Genomic DNA, 18,879 nt, shown 5'->3' on the forward strand with positions numbered 1-18,879 from the left:
TCCACCTCCCGGGTTCAAGTGAGTCTCCTGTCTCAGTTTCCCGAGTAGCTGGGACGACAGGTGTGCACCACCGCGTCCAGTTAATTTTTGTATTTTTTAGTAGAGACAGGGTTTCACTATTTGTTGCCCAGGCTGGTCTCAAACTCCTGACCTCAGATGATCCACCCGCCTCGGCCTCCCAAAGTGCCGGGATTACAGGCATGAGCCACTGTGCCCGGCCACTACTTTGAATAAATTTTAAAACAGCTTCTCTAGTTCCTCTAACAGCCCCAGCTGTGAAGACGAGGGTACCGTAGAGCTGGGAACCACTCTGTTTGGAGAAGTTCACAGGCAACAGAAAGGTGGGCTCTAGCCAAAGTCTTGTCTTCTGACACATGGCCTCAGAGCTGTACGGCCCACATCACGATGCCTACAGCAGTGCACTTTATAAGAGGCCGGAGAAATTCCTCTTTTGCTTATTTGTGTTTGCTGTTTAGGTTCAGCCCTACCTAGGCCCCAGTCCCCTGTCCCTGAGAAGGCCTGGGCCCAGCGGGGGCTGCCTGAAAGAAAGAACAGATGGAGACAAATGGCCTCATGGTTCCGGGCTGAGACCACACCCCTCACCTCATCTCTCTTCTTGGACCCCAGGAAATGGCGTGCCACGTGCTCAGGCAACATGTTGGTGACCAAGGCCTCGTTCCAGCGTCGCATCTCATAGACACGTTCCTTCTGGTCGTGGACCTCAATCTTCCACAAGAAAAGTGTCCGTGCCAGTTTTTCTACCTACAGACACAGACAAGGCGAGGCATGTGCTCTAAGCTGGCCACTGGATAGAAGGATGAAAAACAGGAATGGCCAGGCGTGGCGGTTCATGCCTGTAATCCCAGCACTTTGGGAGGCCGAGGCAGGCGGATCACCTGAGGTCAGGAGTTCGAGACCAGCCTGACCAACATGGTGAAACCCTGTCTCTACTAAAAATACAAAAATTAGCCGGGCATGGTGGCGGGCACCTGTAATCCCAGCTACTCGGGAGGCTGAGGCAGGAGAATCAACTTGAACCCAGGAGGCAGAGGTTGCAGTGAGCCGAGATCGCACCACTGCACTCCAGCCTGGGCAAAAGAGTGAGACTCAGTCTCAAAAAAAGAAGAAAAACAGGAACGTGAATGGAGGAACTCCCCTTGGAAAGGCTGGAAGGAAGATGGCTAAATGGCAAGGGAAGTAAGACCCTGCAAAGATTGCACCTCATCAAAAGGCCACCCAATAGTGGTGCGGTTCCCAGCCTCCGTAATTACAGCAGAGATCCAGGAGGCCTTCCGTGTGTAGGGGGCCTCTTGGGACCTAATTTCAGCTGCAGGTCTGTCTCGTGGAGGTGGCAGCAGTGGGGATCTCCCAACTCAGGGTGGAGTCCCCCTTTCTAGCAGGCGCCATTTGGGTAAGAAGTGGCTTGGGAAGGCTGTACTTCCCTGGAAAGCCAGTAGGGGGCACTTGAACTAACATTGGGCCCTAAGTACAGAGGATCTTTCTCTTCCCTCTCTTCCTTCTCTTTTCCTTTTTTGTCCGGTTGAGTGCGGTGGTTGTGGCGGGGGGGGGGGGGGTGCGGGGGGGGTGTCTCACTTTGTCACCCAGGCTGGAGTGCAGTGGTGTGATCTCAGCTTACTACAGCCTCAACCTCCTAGATTCAAGCAATCCTCCTGCCTCAGCCTCTCAAGTAGCTGGGATTACAGGTGCGGGCCACCATGCCTGGCTAATTTTTGTATTTTTTAGTAGAGACAGGGTTTCACCATATTGCCCAGGCTGGTCTCAGACTCCTGGACTCAAGTGATCCTCCACCCTCAGCCTCCCAAAATGAGCCACTGCACCGGCCTTCTCTTTTCCTTTTAACCCAACAGAAAGTCCATCAGCTCCCTTCTCTTTCTCTTCTGGCTCTGTGGTCAGTTGTGTTAATGTCCCTCAGCGCCACGGGGAGTGCGGGGGCCATGAGCCCCTGGCCTAGGGGATATTGATTTGATTCAAGATGTTTGTGCCTTCACTCTATCCCCTCCCACCTTCACTCCCATGCTTCCTTCACCATCCTGGAGGGGGTCGGACGGAAGAGGTGAGGAACTGTCTTCCTGTGTGACTGAGGAAGGAGCCTGAATAGAGAAGGCGGTGGCCTGACCAGGCTCACGTGTGGGGCTGGGTGAAGGGAAGCCCCATTCCTTAGGAGCTTGGGCTCTTAGGTCCCAGGGCTGCTTCTCAGGAGGCCCTGTGGGCTGTGGGCACAGAGCGGGGATCGTGCAGGCGGCACTCACGTGGCGGGAGAAGTAGTAGAAGCTGAGCATCATGAGGAACACCATCACCGTCATAGAGTACTTGGAAGGCACCAGGGGCAGCCTGCTGGGCAGAGCGTGTGCAACTGAAAGGGCTGTCATCTGCCTCCTGGAGGGGGCCTGATTCCCTCCAACTAGATGGTGCTGCTTCCTGCCACCCCAGCCCTAGAGCTCACCCCGGCTCCTTAGGCCCTTTCACATCAAGTCGGGCTCCCCCGGGCAGTAAAATTTTCTTAACTCACTGGGCTCCTCTCCAACAGCCAGGCAACCCCTGGCCCCTCCTGGCTGCACCTGGTATTCACATCAGGGCTGCTCCCCAGGTATTTAAGAAACACTGCATTGCCTGACTGATCACAGAGGTAGCTACAACCATGCAGGAATTTGGAGAAGCAAGAGACATCAGTGATGGGATTTCATAGCCATGGGACTGGGGTACAATCTCACCATGGCTTTTTACCTTGTTCATACATATTTTTATGTGGAGCTGTGGTTAGTTTCCATTACCGTATGGTATTTCACTGCATGAATATACCAGTTATGTATCCATTTCCTGTTGATGTCATTTGGGTTGTTTTCATTTGTTTTGGGGGAGGGGGTATGTCTATTACGAACAGTGCCACTTTGGACATTCTCATACATATATCCTGGGACATGAGTATGTGCATGAATTTCTCTAAGATGTGTGTATATATATATATACACATATACACACGTCTGCGTGGGTGTGTATGTAGGAGTGGAATTGCTGGGACACAGGTTTATTTTCAACCTTACTAAATAGATCAAAATATTTTCTAACACGGTTGTACTAACTCATACTCCCACCAGGAGTGTAAGAGTTACTATTGTACTTGATATTGTCAGAGTTATCTGGACCGGTACGTGTGTGATGGTATCTCACTAGGGTGTAACTGGCATTTCCTTGATTACTTGAGTGCCATTTATTAGTGGCCATTTAGAGTTCTTCTTTTGCTAAGGGCTATGCAGGTTTTACCCCTCTTCTATTAGGTCATCTTTTTATTTCTAAACTTCCTTGAAGGTCTGTTCAAGTCATGGAATCATAAAATTTTAAAACCTTGGCACTGGCAGGGACCTTAGAGAACTTCTGGTTCAGTATCCTCCTCAAGAGATGAAATTGCAACTCATGGAAACGGACCTGCCTGTGACCCACAGAGAATTACTGCCTGCTGCAGGCTCAGAAGCCAGGTCCAAATCCAAAGCGTCTTCCTCCCTCCTCATTTTCCTGCTGCCTGTCTGTCCTGCCAGCCAGTTACATGCAGCTGCCATCCACCTGGTATTTCCTTCCCTCCTCACTGCACTGCTGCAGCCCTCCTGGAGGAACCCATGCCAGCTTCTCTAACCTGCACGTATCAGGTCACGTGCCTCCCGGGAGGGTGAGATCCCGGGGCTTGGGCCTGTTATATTCCTGTCTCTAGAAGAAGGGCTGTGAGTGCAGGCCAGGAGGGGAAGCCGTGGCCCTTACCTGTCAGTGCCATTGAGCCCAGGGTTGAATCCTTGCATCTGCTCTAAGGCCACCATAGGTAAGCTGTTGGACAGATAACAGCACAGTCAGGCCCCATCTGGGAACAAGAGCCTGATGCCCAGCCAGGCACCGGGGTATCCCAAGTCCTCCACTCGGGGAGAATGGGAAGAATCTATTCTCAGGTCCTAGCCAAACAGTGATACGTCTGTGAGCAGCCAGGAACTGGTTCTTGAACAAGCCTTTGAGGACCCCTAGTGGCAGAAAGCCACCTCAGCACAGGCCCATGAGCTTGAACTGAGGACTTTGCGGGCGGGAGGAAGGAGACAATACAGATCCCCAGTCACGCTTCATCTTACTCGTGCTCCCGAAAACGCTTGTGGTCGTATTCATCAAAGACGGGACGCCAGGCATAGAGGTTGATGGTGGCCACGGCGCCTGCGACGAGCAGCATGAGCGTGAGCTTCACCATGTGGCTGACCTGCACCAGCATGATGGTGGCGATGAGGGACAGCACGGCCACATAGTTGTAATACTTGGGGTTCTCCAGGCAGCTGCCCTCCGTTTCCATCCCTGCCGTTGCATTGCTGGGTCCCGTGTAGTACTGGAGACAGCTGAGCTGGAGGCCAGGACGGCGGGCAGGGACACACGTTCAAGAGAACAGCAGGTGCTGGTCACAGAGGGCTGTGCATGGTAGTGCACGCTCAGCTGCCACCTCCCGCGGCTCCCCCAGAAATACCGGGAAAGATGGGGAAATTTACCAGGGACTAATCATATGAAAGTTAGTAACTGCAGCTAAGAGCCTCGCCGTTGCCTCATTTGACATTCACAAAAACTCTCTCGAGTATTTTTAGTACTGTCCCTATTGTACAGAAAACTCGGGCCAGATTTGCCCAAACACAATTAGCAAGCAGAAAAGCCAAAAGTAGGAGCCAAGTCTTTAGGCTTCAAATCCAACATGTTCTTCCCCATATCACACTGTTGCTTCAGGAGGGGCCACGGGACCATGAGCCCCACTCACAGCCTCCCCGTGATGACAGCTAGTCTCTGCCCAAATCCTTCCATTGGGGGGATGTTCACTGCCTTCTGGATTCTTTACTGGTTCTGCTACTGGGCAGATGCGGCCGGGAGAAAGCGCATCCAGAACCGGAATCAACCCCCCCTTTTTGTAACTTTCACCCACAGGGCAACCTTGTCTTGCTTGCGCGATTCCCGCCATGTCATTCTAGCATGAGCAGTTGTTACACCTCCCTAGCTTTTTACCCCTCCATGAGTGACAGCATCTCCAGGTGTCCTGTACAGTGTCCAGGACCCCATGCAGTGGTGACCTCCACACCTGGGTGCCAGGTTCCAGGCATGTTGTGACATGCAGGGGGCCTGGGGCTTCTCTTCCCTGGGTAGTGGGCACCAGCAACCCCTGGCCAAGGTAGGCTCTGGAGCCCCTAACTCCTCATTCCCAGTAGACTTATTCTTTTTTTTCTTTTTTTTTTTTGAGATGGAGTCTCGCTCTGTCGCCCAGACTGGCGTGCAGTGGTGCATTCTTGGCTCACTGCAACCTCCACCTCCCAGGTTCAAGCGATTCTCCTGCCTCAGCTGCCCAAGTAGCTGGAATTACAGGCTCGTGCCATTGTGGCTGGCTAATTTTTGTATTTTTAGTAGAGACGGGGTTTCACCATCTTGGCCAGGCTGGTCTCAAACTCCTGACCTCAAGTGATCTGCCTGCCTCAGCCTCCCAAAGTGCTGGAATTACAAGTGTGAGCCACCGCGCCCGGCCCCCCACTGGACTTCTGATTAGCTGCAGCCCTGGAGCTTTTTCACTTATACCACTGGCAGAATAAGTCTCCATGTTGGTTGTATTTGTGTGCTCCAATTTTTTTTTTTTTTTTTTTTTTTTTTTTGAGACAAAGTCTCACTCTGTTGCCAGGCTGGAGTGCAGTGCACAATCTCGGCTCACTGCAAGCTCCACCTCCCGGGTTCACGCCATTCTCCTGCCTCAGCCTCCTGAGTAGCTGGGACTACAGGCGCCTGCCACCACGCCCGGCTAATTTTTTTGTATTTTTAGTAGAGACGGGGTTTCAACTGTGTTAGCCAGGATGATTTCGATCTCCTGACCTCGTGATCCGCCCGCCTTGGCCTCCCAAAGTGCTGGGATTACAGGCGTGAGCCACTGCGCCCGGCACCGTGTGCTCCAATTGTTAAAGTACAACAATAACATTATATTTGAAAAAAAAGGAAGATAGTGTATATGGTACTACCACAATTAGAGGAGGCCGTGACAACTGACAAGAGAACACTGATGACAGCTCCAGGCATGTAGTGCTCAATACGTGCCCAGTGGTTCTAAACCAATAGATCTGGGCTCCCAACTCCTGTCCCTTTTCCCCAAGAAAGCATTTGGCTGCCCCCTCAGGGAGGAAGAATACACAGGACTGGGACTTAGAACTGCCTCCATTCTGGACTCTGTCACTTCCTGGCTGTGTGACCTAGAGCAAGTGAATTACCTTTTTTTTTTTTTTTTGAGACGGAGTCTTGCTGTCGCCTAGGCTGGAGTGCAGCGGCTCAATCTCGGCTCACTGCAACCTCCGCCTCCTGGGTTCAAGCGATTCTCCTGCTTCAGCCTCCCAAGTAGCTGGGATTACAGGTGTGCACCACCATGCCTGGCTAATTTTTGTATTTTTAGTACAGATGGGGTTTCACCATGTTGGCCAGGCTGGTTTCGAACTCCTGACCTCGTGATCCGCCCACCTTGGCCTCCCAAAGTGCTGGGATTACAGGCGTGAGCTACCGCGCCCAACCAATTACCCTTTTTGAGAGTTAGTTTCTCCCTATGAAACTGCAGATACTGGTACAACTGCTCAGGACTTTTTCACAGATTAAATGAATCAACATACATAAGGTACCTAGCACAGGCCTGGGCACATGGAACTGTGCTCTCGGACTCTGGGAGAGGAGCTTCAAGGAAACAAGTCCATCCCAGAGGCTCCCTGGATGACAGGGACAAGACTCCTTCCACTAGGTGGGGATGATGTGTTTGGGAACCTAAGAGCCACTCCAAAGCTACATGACGGTGGAGGGATGGACTGAGAAACTGCTTGTGTGACCCAAACAGAAGCCCTTCTCCACTGAGAACAGGGGCGTCCCTTCAACAAGGACAGCAGGAGCTCACCATGTCCACGACATTTGCCATCACCAGGATGAAGATGGCGAGCATGGCCCAGGTGTTCCTGGCCCAGCGGGTCCGGTCAATCCAAGTTGAGAAGGCCACAAGCTTCTTAGGAAAGGCCTAGAAGGAACAGAATTTCAAGGGCCATGAGCCTTTGCCAGTCCTTTCTCCTGCGACGTGACTGACAGCAACTCAGGCTGGTCCCGTATTCCAGTCCCAGGAGCCTCAAAACGGACTCTGCCTGGGAGTCACCTGACAGCTGACCAAGGGGCAGAGCTGAGAAGAGGGCGTGGGAGTTCTGACGCTGTGTTGGACCTCCTCGATGTGCCTGTTCAACAGCACAGCCTCCAGGTCGCAGCCCTTTCCACAGCAGACGTGGTGACGAGGTGAGGCCAGGGCAGGAACAGTTTTCAGGGCTGCTCGTCTCTGGCCAGCTACTCCTGCCTATCCTGGCTCCAAGTGACCTGGCGAGCCACCTGTCAGATTTATGTTCCTAAACACTGCTTTACCTTTGTCATTCTGATTAAAAAAAAAAAAAACTCTGCTTGGTACCTCAGTGCCTTACAGGAGAAAGTTTTAATCCCTTTAGTCTGGCTTCTAAGGGCCTTCACCATCGGGGCCAACCCACCTTCCAGCCGGCCCTCCACTTCCTCTCTACCCAGGTTCTTGTTTACCCAGACTCTGCCGTACTCATACGTGCTGCAGCGCCACGGCCCAACAAGGCCCACCACGGCCCAGCCGTGGCCCACCACAGCCTGCCACAGCCTGGTGGCCCAGCCAGAGGGAGTGCTCTGCTGATGGTGAATGAATGGATGGGCAAGTGCCTGGACCGTCCTAACAGAGGAGTGTCTGCCTGTCAGATTTGACAGAAAGAATAACTCCATCACTGCCCAGTTTTACAGGGAGTGCCACTCACTTCCAGAGGCTTCTGAGCTCAGTAGAAAAGTGCCTCTTACCCGGGGAAAGATGGCAGCCAGGGAGCAGATGGTCAGGATGAGGAGCAGAATCTCCCCCACCATGAAGGTCACATAGTTTGTCATTAGCCTGTGACAGAGAGAAGACAATTGGGAGAGGCCAGAGGGGACAGTGAGATGGGGTGAGGGGCTAGGAGAGGAAGGGACGGGGATGGGGGCAGGGGCCAGGGGACAGCGGACAGGGGGCAGGGGACAGTGGACAGGGGCCAGGGGGCAGGGGACAGCGGACAGGGGCCAGGGGACAGCGGACAGTGGCCAGGGGACAGCAGACAGGGGCAGGGGCCAGGGGGCAGCGGACAGGGACTGGGGGCAGGGGCCGGGGGCAGGGGCCAGCAGACAGGGACCGGGGGCAGGGGCCAGCAGACAAGGACCGGGGGAAGGGGGCAGGGGGCAGGGGACAGGGGCCGGGGGCAGGGGACGGGGAGGCCTCTCAGCACAGCACGAGCCTGTACAGCTCCACGCGGTGCCAGGGAATTGCTGCTGCCTGCCGTGCAGAACAGGACAAAGGCCCTGATGAGACGGGCCGCCAGCTGAGTGCCGGCCTGGGAGCGGGCCACTCTCCAGCTGCAGCTGCTGCCTGGGACATTTCCCAGAGAGGGAACAACTCACAGGTGGCCTGGGCACAGCCCAGGATAAACTTGGGCAGGGATCTTAGGAATGCACCCCTGCCATGTCGCTGTGCTGAAAGGACAGAGCACGGAGCAGCATCACTCCCTCGCTGCCGGGGGCTAAGAGTCTGCCTGTGACAGCCACCCCCAGCTTCACAGTGGACACACTCAACACATCCACCTTAACCTGACAACTCCCGGAAACCTGTTCTCTATACCCTCTGCTCACACCCATTCCCGTTTAACCCCTCCCTGGAAGGTGTCCTTGCCAAGAGCCCCAGAAGCCTCCTGGTAGCTAAATCCATGTCCCATTTTCAGTCACCTCTCACCCCTCCTTGAGACACTTTTCTCGCTTGGTTTCTTGAGTCCTTTTCTGTCTCTGCATCTGGACACGCTGCCTTGAGCTCAGCAAGTCTCGTGTTGCAGCACAGCCTGCATGCTGGTGATGCCAGGTTCACGTCTCCAACCCCACCCGCCCTCCAAACTCCAGATCATGGATGCTGGCCTCCTTGGCTTGTGGGCACTGCAAACTTCACGTGTCCCAAAGCAAACTCCTGATCTTTGCCTCTCCACTCTCATCTTTCCACCTTGTCCCCATCTTGGTTAACGGCACCCCCGTCCTGCCAGTTGCTCAGATCAGAAGCCCAGGAGACATCCTCAACTCCACACTCACGCCCCACAACCAATCTGCCAGCAAATCCTGTCAGCTCTGTCTCCAAAATACATTCAGCATCTATCGACGGAATCCAACCACTGATCCTCCTCTATCCTCGGCCTGGCCTGGCCACCACAGTGGCTTGTCTGGGCCGCTATTTGGTCTCACTGCTCCCGCTGTGCTCACTAAGCGCTGTTCTCAGCAGGAGTGAGCCTCTCCAGGCATATGTCACAACAGGGGACTCCTCTGCTCCCTTGTTCTGGCGGCCTCCTGTGTTAAGAGTGGAAGCTGGCACCCTGCAGTGGCGTGTAGGAGGCCCCACGTCTGTGCTGGACTCCTGCTACTCTTCCTGTGGCCCGTTCCCAATGCGATGCCTCCTCACTGTGCCTCCAGGGGCCAGGCCACTCCAGCCTCAGCACCTCTATCCGAAGCAGGTGTCCCCCAGATAGGAGAAGGCTCGCCCCTCACCCGCTTCCAGGCGTTACTGAAATATTATCCTGCCAGCAAGTCCTGCTCTGACCATCCCACATCAAAATGCAAACAAAACAAAACAAAGCTCCCCAGCAGCATACCCGCCTCCCTTCCTTGCCTTCCCTGTGTCTGCAGTACTTACTCTCGCATGGATGCATATTTTAATTGTTTAATTGCTTTTGCCTGTAGCTTCCCCTACCAGAACCCAAGTTTCACGAGAGCAGGGGTTTCTGTGTGCCGCATCGCTGCCATAGCCCCAGCCCTTGATCCCCACGCATGAAGCAGACAACCAATCAATACTTATGGAATGAGTGAATTTGAGCCTCACCACAGTCGTGAGTGTCCGCTAGGGCAGGGGTTGTTCTCCTCATTTCACAGATGAGGAAACAGATGCTGCCGGAGCCTGCAGTGGCCTGCACGTGGTCACACACCCGCAACCTTAGATAGTGTGACCCAGCCCAAGGCTCCTGACAAACTGTAATCCCAGCAGGGTTCCAGACCCCTCCTCTGTGACGGGGAATCCCCGATTGGCCGAGGGGAGAAAGGGAGAACAAGAGAGTGGTCGTCACCCTCAGACAGGGCTTCACCAGCTGGGGACTCCAGGAGGCCACACCTTGCCCTGGAGGACCTACTGCTGCGTTAGAGAGGGCGTCAGTCTGTGCCCACAGCCTAAAATCTATCTTTACCAAGATGAGCCAAGAGAGGGGCCAGGTCAGCCTTGGTGACTGAGACTGACGCAGTGTCCCCATCTTTGTCCCAAGAATCAGTGTGGGCCCATCTAGCCAAGGTCTCCAGCCTTCTGGAGGCCTCTGTCCCTCAGCTCTCTTGATCCTGGCCAGATCCCCATTCTGACGCTAGGACTGCTCCAAAACGCGGGGCAGGGAAAAGGAAGGATGCCCAGGGTGCCGTCTAGCACTCCTGGGGCCTGTGGGGGCCGTCCCAGTGGGGGTCAGGGAGCAGAGACTGGCTTGCTCCCCAATGTCAGGCTCCCGCTGAGACACCTGCCCCCGCCCCCCGCCCGGCACCACCGCAGCCGAGGAAACTCGTGGCCCTCCCCGGCCCCTCCCTCACCAGGGGTCGATGAGTATCTCGACCAGGGCCGTGCAGAGCAGGACGACGCAGGAGCAGCTGAAGGCAGCCCCACTCTGCTTCTCCTTCTCCACCGAGTAGCGGGTTTCCATCTCGGGGTCCATGAACCGCATGGACAAGAGGAAGGTGTTTCTCTTCTTTACTCTGCAGTGGGAACAAGCCCCATGAATCCCAAATGCCACATCTGCCTTGGCCTAGCAGGGGGGCCGTATTTGGGATGCTCAGTTTCCTGAATCCCTTGTCAGGGCCCGGGAGGAGTGGTGGGCCTGGACGCTTCCGGGTGGCGCTTACACTTGGGCGGACTCTCGCTCAAGCAGGGCCTCGTTGAGCAGCTGGTTGAGCTCGTGCTCATCTTCAGAGGCATCCACCACTCGGTCAGCCAGGTCCTGCAGGCGCAGCCTCCGGCGTGGGTTGGGGAATGAGGGGTTGTCGGCCTGTGAGCCAGGGAGGCAGCGTGAGTGGGGCAGATGGGACAGAGTGGTGGGGAAGAGCTGGGAAAGACAGAGGTGGAGGAGGAAAGGAACAAAAGAGGGCATACTCGGAGGACCAATCCCTCCAGCTCTAAAATCCCTTTCCGGGAAGTCTTCCCCATGCTCCCACGTGGCTCCATGTGGCCTGGATCTACACCCAAAGCTCCAGTCTTTCCTGGCTCCCCGGGCCCCCCACCCAGAGCTCTGCAGGGAGGGTCCGCTAATGACAGCATTGTAGGGAGCAGCCCCTGGCTCCTGAGCAGGAGACCTGTAATCGGAGACAGCTGCTGGGCTGAGGCAGTCCTGGCACTTCCTGCTGTATTGATGTGGGGGCCATATACATTGGCAGCCTGGGGACATGAATGGCTCCCAACTCTAGGGCTTCAGGGAACTGTTAAAGGAACTCACATCTGGCTCATTTGGAAAGGAAGATCTGAGGGGGAAAGTGATGGGAGAGAGAAGAATGTCCTCATCACTAGAGGGCTGACAAGGGGCGGGTAGGTGGAGCTGGGGCACCCACTACCCTTTTATTCCCAGTTCCAAAGAAAAAGCATCAACTCCAAAAACAGGAATCCTGGCTGTGATGACACAGCCATCAGTCTGAATAGTCACTGAGACGGGCTGAGAGCTGTCTGAACGGGTTCAACAGTGCATCTGGGAGCCACAGTCACGACTCCCTGGGGCCGGGCACGGTGACTCACGCCTGTCATCCCAGCACTCTGGGAGGCTGAGGTGGGTGGATCACTTGAGGTCAGGAGTTTGAGACCAGACTGGCCAACATAGTGAAACTCCATCTTTACTAAAAATACAAAAATTAGCCAGGCATGGTGGTACACGCCTGTAATCACAGCTACTTGGGAGGCTGAGGCAGGAGAATCTCTTGCACCCGGGAGGCAGAGGTTGCAGTGAGCCAAGATCGCGCCACTGCACTCCAGCCTGGGTGACAGCGTGACTCCATCTCAAAAAAAAAAAAAAAAGACTCCCTGGTCTTAAGCACAGGCACAGGTGTGCCACTGGTTGACAGTTTGACCCCAGATAATGTTTCCCCAGCCACATCTTCCCCTTCTGTAAAATCACGTGGATGGTCTGTGGCAGCAGCGGGAACCTGTTCCTGAAGCAGATCCGGGAGCAGCGTGGCCCTGGCTGAGGGTCAGGGCCCGAAAAATCAGGCTGCTAAAGCTGCATCTGTGTCCTCCTTGCTAGTGAGTGCCCTGAGTCTGGACCCCCACTTTCTATCAAGAAAACTGCAACAAGGAAAAGTTACTGAATGTTGGGGGACTCAAGAAAAACCTAATTTACCCTGAGCCCCATCTACCCTCTTGTTCTACGGCATCTGCTCTAATGGCACCAGGGCCAGCTCTCCTGTCCCCCTCACGCGGTGAGCCCGAGCAGGGCAGACATCCCATCTCTGCAGCACTGACCTCCATCAGTGAACGTGCTCCAGACGCCCTGCGGTCAGGGACCAGTTCTGGGTGCTCCCCAAGAGGCACCCTGCACTCTGGGACAGCATGCTAATTCCTCGCCTTTGGGGGCTAAGGAAATATCCCATCTTGCATGGAACTTGTGGGGCTTGAACCTAGCCAGAGGGGTGAGTCCAGGTCTGATATCTCACTTCCAAAATGGTCTCAGATCCTATATAATTTTCCATGGATGTCCTCACTGATCTCAAATCTACAGGATTCCGGGCCATCAGAGCTACAAAGGCCTCCGAGCTAAGCACCTCTTTTGACCTTACTCACCCCGGCATGTAACTGATGAGGAGACAGTGGGGTTTTGCGGGGCTGGAGGGGTGACCTGTCCATGGTTACAGTGCTAAGCAGGAGCAGGTCCTGGGTGGTGGCCAGGTCTCCCCAGCACAGGACTCCTGCTGCAGGAACGTATTGCTTCCTGGTGCCTGCCCGCATCTGGCCCTCAGTGACCCCCTGCCCTGAGCCCTGCACATACCTGGGCATCCTGCTCCTCGGGCTTCTCCGACGTGGACCCACTGCTGTGGGCACTCCCGTTGGGCTCCTTGGTCTCAATGAGGGCAGGGGAGCTGGACTTTGAGGAAGCTGGTGCTCCATTGGGCAGGGCCTAGAGGAAAGGAGAGCTCAGCCATGATCTGGGCATGGGATGAGAGTGGCGTGGACAGGTCTGGAAGTGACAAGGGCGTGGGAGGCGGTGGGATTAGAGAGCAATCTGAGGCCACAGAACTTGCTTGTGGATTGCAAAGTGAGGCGTCAAGGATGATTTCAAACTTTTTGGTCTGAGCAGTTGTTAATAAAAGGATGGAACTGCCATTAACTGAGATGGGAAGACCGAGGGAGAGCAGGTTATGGAGTGGGAAGGAGGGCAGGAGCTTTGGGCAGGTGGCATTTAAGATACCTATTATATGTACAAATGGAGACGTACAAGTGGCTGTATGTTGAGTGCAGGGAAGACACTGGGGGTGGAGATACAAATTTGGGAGTTGTCAGAGACAGCCTTTAAAATGACACTGGATGAGACTGACATCGAGGTTAGAATCAGCGGGGAGTATCAGCCTTCACTCCGGCAGCCTCACCAGAGTGGGCTTTGCTTTAGCCATAATTAGGCAAAGCCTCAGCCATAGAGCAGTCTCAAATGACACGACTTCCCTGACAGTCACCAAGCTCCTTAATTCCAAGTCTTGTTAGATGGACTCTCATAACTGGAGGAAAGGGTTTTGACATGAGATTACAAAAAATAAGACAACCTCCAGATTCAGCAGGGGATGGTAAAGGGATCCATTTCTGCAACAGCTGCTGGTGGTTTCTAATCAGACTGACAGGAGGTGTTTGGGGGTTGGTGGACAGACCTGGGGAAGCTGCTGAGTGCTTCAGGTCTGTAGATATTCGGGGGATCCCACAAAAAGACCAGAGGGCAGGCCCACAGGATGCACGATTGCAAGCTTGTTCAACCCACAGTATTTTTTGTTTGGCCCGAGACAATTCTTCTTCTTCCAATGTGGCCCAGGGAAGCCGAAAGATTAGACACCCCTGCTCTATTACTTCTATCTCATTCCTCCCTCATTTCCCACTCAGGAAACCTTCCTGGCCTTGGTCCTCCTCCCCCATGACCAGTCACCCCACCCCCACCCTCCTCTCTGAGCCTCTCCCTGAGCATCCACGTCACTCCTGTGGCTTCACTCACTTCCTCCATGCAGGAGACCCTGAGCCCCAACCCAGCTGCTCTCCTGGGCGCCACCGACACATCTCCAGCGGCCCCCTCCTGGATGTGGTCTTGGGATATGCTTCAGTCACCTCCATTGCAACCTGCCATGAATTACACTCACCATCTCCCCCAGAAACCAGCTCTCCCTTGGGAAGGGTGCCAGCCTGCCACTCACCTCTCACAGCCAGCCACTGCTGGGTCCTGCCACCTCTTCTGCAATCTTTCCTTAATCTCCTCCTTTCCAACCCCCTAATCCAGGGGTGGGGTGGGTGGGGTGGGTGGGGTGGGGTGGGGAACTCACCGAGCCATTGAGGCCATTCTGGGTGGCTGTTTTCTTCACCTCTGGCTTGGAGGCAATGATGAGGTAGGTTTCAATACCCTTCTCTTCTAGGTAATCACAGCGGCTGCCCCCATCGCCTGGCTCCACATCAAACTCCCCTTTCAGGCAGTCCATGGTGCTCTGGGAGATGTGCACGCGCCTGGATTGCAGAGAGAGAGGCCCTGAGCGTCGGCCAGAGGTGGCCCTCACACCCCCAGGGGACAGTCCACGGACCACGGCTGCACCGGCTGCTGCTCGGCCCCGTGTCTCTCGGGCATGTGGGGCAGAGGCCAAGTGGAGGCAGTTCTGCCACTAACTAGCTGTGTGGGCCGCTAACTAGCTGTGTGGGCCGCTAACTAGCTGTGTGGGCCGTATGGCACTTACTCCCATCTCAGCCTCAGTGTTGGAGCCACGACACAGGAGTACAATCTTTCTTCAATCTTTGATCCGCTGTAAAGCAGATCAAATGCGATAAGGAATTTTTTTTTTTTTTTTTTTGAGACAGAGTCTTGTTCTGTCGCCCAGGATGGAGTGCAGTGGCTTGATCTTGGCTCAGTGCAACCTCTGCCTCCCGGGTTCAAGCAATTCTCCTGCCTCAGCCTCCAGAGTAGCTGGAATTACAGGTGCACACCACCACACCCGACTAATTCTGTATTTTTAGTAGAGATGGGGTTTCGTCATGTTGGTCAGGCTGGTCTCAAACTCTTGACCTCAGGTGATCTACCCACCTCGGCCTCCCAAAGTGCTGGGATTACAGGCGTGAGCCACAAGATCCAATTATCCCCCACCTTGCACGTTTCTCAGTTGCAACCCCTGCTGCCAAGAGATAATAAAACCTGTTTCTGAGGAGTCACCACTGAGGCCAAGAATCCTAAATGCCACTGAAGGAAGCTCCCTGGCCCAGATGGGGAAGGCTGGGCTGATCCTCCCTCAGCCTCGCCCTGCTAAAGGCAGGGCCTCCATTATCCTGTAAGGGAGCTCAAGTAAGGCGTGTAATCGCACTGCGACCTGCAAAACGCTGCCTGCGAGCCCGCTAGCTGATGACTGCTCATTACTCTCCCTTTGGGGAGACCTGGGCTCTGACATAAGGAGAGCTGGGGCAGCCCCCTTAGTGGGTAAAGGGGAGGCAGCCCCCTAAGTCGGTAAAGGGGACAGGAGGACAGGCTACTGCAGGGTCCAGGAAGGAAAAGCCACATCCAATATCAGGCCCAAAGAGGCCTCACCCCAAGGCAGGTCAGAACGGCCTTAGCCAGGGCCAGGACCAGGGCGAGACAGGAGGAATGCTGTTCCGGGGTTGTAGGGAGGCCTTCTCTGAGGCCCCCTGTCCCTCATCAGGGTCACAGCCCTGGGGGATGGAGGGGACGGTCCCCTCCCCAGTCCTCAAACCTGCCCCCTTGGAATGGCACTCACCCAGGGATGCCGCCGGCCTCCATCTTGTTGGCTACAGTGACATCAGTCGACCACACGTCGTACTGCCAGCGCTTCTGGCCCAGGACGCCCCCCAGCACGGTGCCCGTGTGCACCCCCACACGCATGTCCACCCCAGTCTTGGTCTTCTCCCGCACATACCTGCCAGGTACACACAGAAAGGAGGGTCAGGGTGTGGCCTTCACGAGGCAGCCAGCTGCCCCTGCTCCTGCAGGAGAAATTCATTGTGGGCCTCTTCCCCTCCACAAGAGGGGGCCTGGCAAGGTCCCCACAGCTTGGTGTTGGGTGGGGGGTAAGGCAGGCCAGGGCCAGCCCAGAGTCAGGCATCACAGGCCAGCAGGACGAGGGCACCAAGCGACTTTCCTCCCTATCCCCACTTCCCGAGGGGCCTCAGTTTCTCTCTGCCAATTACTCTTTTATTCATTCGTGCAGTTAATATTTCACTGAGCATCAAGTATGTGCCAGGCACGTTCAAGGTGCTGCAGACACAGAGGTGAAGAAAATAGCCGTGAACAGCCCCCTGCCTGAACGTGTCTGACAGGGCAGGGAGAGAATGTTAGAGTTCCTGGACTACCACCCCTGGGGTAAAGGCCACACTGCTTTCTTTCCAGGGCAATACTAGACGGGCTTTAACCTGGAAGATGGTAAAAATGCAAAGCCGCCCCCTCGGAGAAGGGGGTAAAGAGCAGGCAACTTCCTGGACTCCATCCCATGGGGGAGGGGCCTCGGCAGGAGCTTCCCTTTCCGTGTTGGTGCCTGATGTCACCCCGGGTCCCGCAGAGGCTGGAAGTCAACCAGAGGGACTGCCCATCCGAGAGCTGCAAGCCCACTTGGAGCAGGGGCAAGAGTAGGGGACAGTGAGGGCAGGAGAGTTTGCCTCCCTCACAGCCTAAGGCTGGAGCACAGAGGCCGGGGTGGGATCCAGCCTCATCCCTGAGCCCCTCTGCCAGGGTCTTACAGTCACTGCATCACGAGATGGAGAGGGCAGTGCCTTCGGGGGTCACGGTGAGAAAACACTGAGGAGAGATGGGGAGCCCCTGTGGGGGTCCCAGCAAGTGTGAGGAGGCGTGAGAAAATTCACAACTGCAACTTCTGGCAAAAAGAGAATACGTGGACTAAGGCTGGAAAAGTGTGCCCCACAGGCTGGGGGAGCCTCGCAGGTCCCCTGGGCTGTGAGGAAGGTAAGCCACATCCCAGCTTCTAGAGCGGGAGCCTGCGCCACCCATCAACCAGTGCTGTGTCCCAGTCTCTGCTTCCAGCAGATCCCCCACCCAGGGGCCATGGCCAGCGCGGAAGACCTGCTTCTCCCTGGGTCCAGGGCCGGGGCCCTTGCTCTGGGAGCCTCCCTCCCAGAGGCATCCCACTTACGAGATGGCCTCCACCATGGCCAGCCCCATGAGGATGGAGCAGACGGCGTGGTCCTCCCGGTAGTCGGGCAAGCCGCAGATGCAGTAGTAGCAGTCGCCCAGGATCTTAATCCGCAGCTGGTGGTATTTCTGAAAGGGGAGGGCCTGGCCTGTGCTCCAGCCCCTCCTCAGTGAGGGAGGAGTGGCCAAGAAAGCAGAGGAAGGACAGTGGGAGAAAATCATGGGGCCGGGGATGGGGGCCAGGCAGAGGCCATGAGGGCAGGCCCCGCTGGAGAGCCAGGCGGGGCCAGGGACTTACAGCTGCCAGCTTGTCAAAGCGGGCAAAGAGCTCGTTGAGCAGCTTCACAAGCTCCTGGGCACTGCAGGCAGAAGACAGCTGGGTAAAGCCCACGATGTCGGCAAAGAGGATGCTGCATGAGGAAGGAACCGTGGGGGTGACGCTCCAGGCAGCCAGGTGTACCCGACCCCACTGCCAGCTCCCTCTCCAACCCACAGGGCAGCCAGGATCAGGGCAGGAGAAGGTCCTCCCTCACGACCCCCAGACAGTGAGACCCTGACCCTTCCAGGTAAAGTCAGGGCTCTGACCTTGCACTTGTCCTAGCAGACTTCCCCTGCAGGCCTCCCTCCCTGTGGTGCCTGGGGACCACCCCACACTGCCCACTCCTGCCCAGGCTGAACTCATCCTTCTTCCTAGAATCACAGGTCAGGGCTCTAGCCCCAGTGCTGGCCCTCAACAGCTGGGTGACCTCACAGGAGTCCCTTCCCCGCTCCAGGTGATATCTGTTCTATGATGGGGTTGGACCAAGCAGCCTAGAGCACACTGTAGCTTCAACATCTGCTGGCAGCTTCCTCCGCCAGGCTGATGAATGCTGTGGGAGGCCTTGCTTCTAGTCCCTGGAAAACCTCTTGAAGCCCACAGCACCTAGCGGGTCCCACAAAGATGCAGCCCTCCACAGCCTGCTCTGCCATCAGAGCCCGCGCCCCGGGCCGGCGTACCTGACGTTCTCGTGACGGTACATGTACATGGTGTTGAACTGCTGCTGGTCCTTCTGGCTCTCGTCTTTCTTCATGTCTTTCAGCATCTCGTCAGCCACGTGCTTGGGCAGGATGGAAAGCATGAGGTTCTCCTGTGAGGGGCAGGAGAGGGTCAGAGGCAAAGGTAGGCCCTGCTAGAGGCAAGTTCAGATACTTCTGGGAAGAAATGCCCCGATCCTGGCAAGAAACGTGAGCAGGGAACCATGCTGCCCTCCAGAGAGACCTCACAGATCTGCCTCGGGAGCAGCCAGGGGTCTGGGACAGGCAGCTTCTGGCCCTGACAAGGCTGAGGGTGGCAATGGCCCCTTCAGAGCAACTGAGGGGAGCCAGAAACGCAGTGAAGCATCCCAACGTGGCTCTG

General features: G+C 55.7%; 1 protein-coding gene and 1 long non-coding RNA gene across 32 annotated transcripts in view, besides 5 other annotated features; both read right to left on the bottom strand.

Moving 5' to 3' along the window:
• ADCY3 (adenylate cyclase 3) overlaps window positions 1–18,879 on the bottom strand; it is a 101,069-nt gene that overhangs the window by 4,606 nt on the left and 77,584 nt on the right. For 6 of the 31 annotated variants that reach the window (XR_007068865.1, XM_011532489.2, XM_011532492.3 and 3 more), the window contains 15 exons: window positions 18,480–18,610; window positions 17,782–17,893; window positions 17,485–17,612; window positions 16,099–16,257; window positions 15,073–15,138; window positions 14,671–14,848; window positions 13,143–13,271; window positions 11,020–11,219; window positions 10,711–10,872; window positions 7,888–7,975; window positions 6,935–7,051; window positions 4,128–4,387; window positions 3,772–3,834; window positions 2,271–2,355; window positions 604–762 (listed from right to left, as the gene is read on the bottom strand). Coding sequence is in view for 30 of the 31 variants with exons in the window: in XM_011532489.2 (XP_011530791.1) it covers window positions 604–762; window positions 2,271–2,355; window positions 3,772–3,834; window positions 4,128–4,387; window positions 6,935–7,051; window positions 7,888–7,975; window positions 10,711–10,872; window positions 11,020–11,219; window positions 13,143–13,271; window positions 14,671–14,848; window positions 15,073–15,138; window positions 16,099–16,257; window positions 17,485–17,612; window positions 17,782–17,893; window positions 18,480–18,610 (2,037 nt within the window). In the remaining variant the exon portion in view is untranslated. The remainder of the gene's footprint in view (window positions 1–603; window positions 763–2,270; window positions 2,356–3,771; window positions 3,835–4,127; window positions 4,388–6,934; window positions 7,052–7,887; window positions 7,976–10,710; window positions 10,873–11,019; window positions 11,220–13,142; window positions 13,272–14,670; window positions 14,849–15,072; window positions 15,139–16,098; window positions 16,258–17,484; window positions 17,613–17,781; window positions 17,894–18,479; window positions 18,611–18,879) is intronic. The other 25 variants (NM_004036.5, XM_047443009.1, XM_047443010.1 and 22 more) reach the window with 14 other exon arrangements.
• Window positions 1,692–2,251: an enhancer, noted in NCBI's record as "H3K27ac-H3K4me1 hESC enhancer chr2:25048335-25048894 (GRCh37/hg19 assembly coordinates)". NCBI's record gives its function as "activates a minimal SCP1, AML or CMV promoter by ChIP-STARR-seq in primed H9 embryonic stem cells {active_cell/tissue: H9 hESC(primed)}" and the evidence as "EXISTENCE:reporter gene assay evidence [ECO:0000049][PMID:30033119]".
• Window positions 2,252–2,810: an enhancer, noted in NCBI's record as "H3K27ac-H3K4me1 hESC enhancer chr2:25048895-25049453 (GRCh37/hg19 assembly coordinates)". NCBI's record gives its function as "activates a minimal SCP1, AML or CMV promoter by ChIP-STARR-seq in primed H9 embryonic stem cells {active_cell/tissue: H9 hESC(primed)}" and the evidence as "EXISTENCE:reporter gene assay evidence [ECO:0000049][PMID:30033119]".
• On the bottom strand, window positions 8,306–10,692 carry LOC105377626 (uncharacterized). Its single transcript, XR_939842.3, has 2 exons — window positions 9,968–10,692; window positions 8,306–8,586 (listed from the first exon to the last, which is right to left on the bottom strand). It is a non-coding gene; the product is annotated as an uncharacterized LOC105377626 (long non-coding RNA).
• Window positions 9,426–9,720: a silencer, noted in NCBI's record as "tiled region #9030; K562 Repressive non-DNase unmatched - State 18:Pol2". NCBI's record gives its function as "represses a minimal TATA promoter and a strong SV40 promoter by Sharpr-MPRA in K562 cells {active_cell/tissue: K562}" and the evidence as "EXISTENCE:reporter gene assay evidence [ECO:0000049][PMID:27701403]".
• Window positions 9,900–10,824: an enhancer, noted in NCBI's record as "H3K4me1 hESC enhancer chr2:25056543-25057467 (GRCh37/hg19 assembly coordinates)". NCBI's record gives its function as "activates a minimal SCP1, AML or CMV promoter by ChIP-STARR-seq in naive H9 embryonic stem cells {active_cell/tissue: H9 hESC(naive)}" and the evidence as "EXISTENCE:reporter gene assay evidence [ECO:0000049][PMID:30033119]".
• Window positions 10,825–11,748: an enhancer, noted in NCBI's record as "H3K4me1 hESC enhancer chr2:25057468-25058391 (GRCh37/hg19 assembly coordinates)". NCBI's record gives its function as "activates a minimal SCP1, AML or CMV promoter by ChIP-STARR-seq in naive H9 embryonic stem cells {active_cell/tissue: H9 hESC(naive)}" and the evidence as "EXISTENCE:reporter gene assay evidence [ECO:0000049][PMID:30033119]".

The sequence above is a fragment of the Homo sapiens genome, chromosome 2 (assembly GCF_000001405.40).
Source record: "Homo sapiens chromosome 2, GRCh38.p14 Primary Assembly".
Lineage (NCBI taxonomy): Eukaryota > Metazoa > Chordata > Mammalia > Primates > Hominidae > Homo > Homo sapiens.